The sequence below is a fragment of the Homo sapiens genome, chromosome 11 (assembly GCF_000001405.40).
Source record: "Homo sapiens chromosome 11, GRCh38.p14 Primary Assembly".
In the NCBI taxonomy this organism is placed as follows: Eukaryota; Metazoa; Chordata; class Mammalia; order Primates; family Hominidae; genus Homo; species Homo sapiens.
The window spans coordinates 124,569,716-124,572,228 of record NC_000011.10 but is presented as its reverse complement, the minus strand read 5'-3'; the positions used below and the strand labels follow the sequence as shown (position 1 = coordinate 124,572,228).

Below are 2,513 nucleotides of genomic sequence, written 5' to 3'. Positions count from 1 at the left end.
GAAGGGATTTGAGAAATTATTTTCAGAAGAAATTATTTTCATCCAATTTGAAATTGGATGAGCATAATTATGGGAGGTTTAATAGGCTGTTCAAAGGGACGGCTAGACTAAAGTGAAGGAAGTAATGTGTGAGTGCCCAGAGTCTGGGCTCTGGAAGCCACTTGGACTGGGGTTTGAATCTCAGTGTTGTTACTCCTGCTCCAAGTTCCATATCTGTGAAATGAGAATAGAATAGTACCTACTTGTTGTGTAGTATAATTGAAATAGAATAGAAAGCACGTAGAAGAATTGCATGGATCAGAGTCAGCATCCAAAAACATGTTAGCTGCTGTTATCATTATTATTAGTGTTACTAAGAAAATTACATAAAGAGATCAGGAAATTCTTGGGCAGGGGTAAGTAGAGATACTTTGCCTCTCTTTGCCTCATTTGTTCCCAAGTACAAAAAGAAAAAAAATTGGCCAGGCGCAGTGCCTCACACCTGTAATTCCAGCACTTTGGGAGGCCAAGGCAGGTGGCTCACTTGAGGTCAGGAGTTCAAGACCAGCCTGGCAAACATGGTGAAACCCCGTCTCTACTAAAAATACAAAAATTAGCTGGGCATGGTGGCAGATGCCTATAATCCCAGCTACTCGGGAGGCTAAGGCAGGAGAATCACTTGAACCTGGGAGGCGGAGGTTGCAGTGAGCCGAGATCGTGCCACTGTACTCCAGCCTGGGCTGGAGTGAGACTCTGTCACCAAAAAGAAAAAAAAAAAGAAAAAAATTGGGCTGAGTAATATTTTCTATATAGAAGATAATAAGACCATGAATGACCCTAAAACTCAATGTTGAAAGTTTAGCATTTAAGTTAAATTACAATTAAGATAGGAAACATTTATTAAAGGGCTTGGGGTAGAGGGATGGATCTCAAGTGAAAGAAAACCTGAACCTGAAGTTGGCTGGCTTCAAAGAGAAGTGAAAAAAGAGGGAGGGAAGGAAGAGGAAAGAAGAGGAAGGAAGGAAGAGGAAGGAAGAGGAAAGGAAGAGGGAAGGAAGAGGAAAGAAGGAAAAATGCCCATTCACCCAGCCATGTGGAGAAGTGATTATTTTCCATCCACAGCTGGCCAGCATTCAGAAGCTGTCACTCTGGTATTTATAACAATTACCACTAAATTGAAAAGGAACAATAACATTTGCATCAAAACAGTTTACCCCTCAGCGTTTTCTGCACGGCAGCCTTTACTTCCTTGTTCCTCAGGCTGTAGATTAGGGGATTCAACATGGGGATTACCGTGGTGTAGAACACAGAGGCCACATTCTCCTGGGTCAAGGAACTGATTGTGGAGGGTTTTAAGTACATGAATGCAGTTGATCCATAGAACATTCCCACGGCTGCAAGGTGGGAGCTGCAGGTGCTGAAGGCTTTGGATCTCCCCTCTGTGGTGCTGATGCCGAGGATGCTGGAGAGAATGAAGGTGTAAGAAACAAGAACTGTTAAGCTCGTGACTATGATGTTGAATCCAGCCGAAAAGAAGACTGTCATCTCAACATCATAGGTGCTAGAGCAGGACAGCTTCATGAGAGGGAGGATGTCACAGAAGTAGTGACTGATGAGGTGCTCACAATAGGGCAGTTTTAACATGAGGCCAGTTTCTATTGTGGAGCCAATGAGTCCGATGGCGTAGACCACAGCCACCAGCAGCAGGCAGGTGTGATGAGACATAATGATGTTGTAAAGCAAAGGGTGGCAGATGGCAACATAGCGGTCGTAGGCCATCACTGTCAGCATGTAACACTCAGCAATGACAAAAACAAGGAAGAAGTAGAGCTGTGACATGCACCCTGCGTAGGAGATGATGTTTTTCTCTGACACAAAGTTCACCAGCATCTTAGGGGTAATGACGGAGGAGTAGCAGAGATCCATGAGTGACAGATTGCTGAGAAAGTAGTACATGGGGGTGTGCAGCTGAGAGTTCAGACAAATTAGAGTGATCATGCCCAGGTTCCCCACGATGGTGACCAAGTAGATCCCGAGGAAGAGGAGAAAGAGGGGGAGCTGGAGGTCTGCTCTCTTCGTTAAACCCTTGAGAATGAACTCTGTCACTGTAGAGTGATTTCCTGCAGCCATTCTCCTCTGGGTGGGAGGCCTGCAGGGATGCATGGGAGACAAGAACCCCATTAAAAGGCTAATCTTGGACGGCTAGTCTTGAGCCTTTGGTGCTAGTGAAACATCCTGGGCTCTCTGCTGATGCATCCTCCCCGCCCTCCTCCCCTCGTCCTGCTATTTGCTGGTCTTCTTTGCAGGAAGACCAGCGTGAGTGTTTCAGGGATCATGAAGATGGGAGGAAAGCAGGCCAAGGTCTGGATCTTTTACCATGCACATTTTTCTAAAGCATCCTGGGGCAGTGTTTCTCAAAGGGTAGTCCCTGGACCAGCAGCACTGACATTACCTGGAGTTTTTTAGAGATGCAAATTCTCAGGCCTCAGCTCACACCTAATTAATCAGAAACTCTGGATATGGGGCCCAGCAAT

The 2,513-nt window shown here is 45.6% G+C and overlaps 1 protein-coding gene across 1 annotated transcript; it reads right to left on the bottom strand.

Moving 5' to 3' along the window:
* Positions 1-854: 854 nt before the first annotated feature.
* OR8A1 (olfactory receptor family 8 subfamily A member 1) lies at positions 855-2,232 on the bottom strand. The gene has a single exon (NM_001005194.2). It carries the CDS (start codon positions 2,107-2,109, stop codon positions 1,180-1,182), a length of 930 nt encoding a protein of 309 aa, NP_001005194.2. The 5' UTR covers positions 2,110-2,232; the 3' UTR covers positions 855-1,179.
* Between the last annotated feature and the right edge of the window lie 281 nt (positions 2,233-2,513).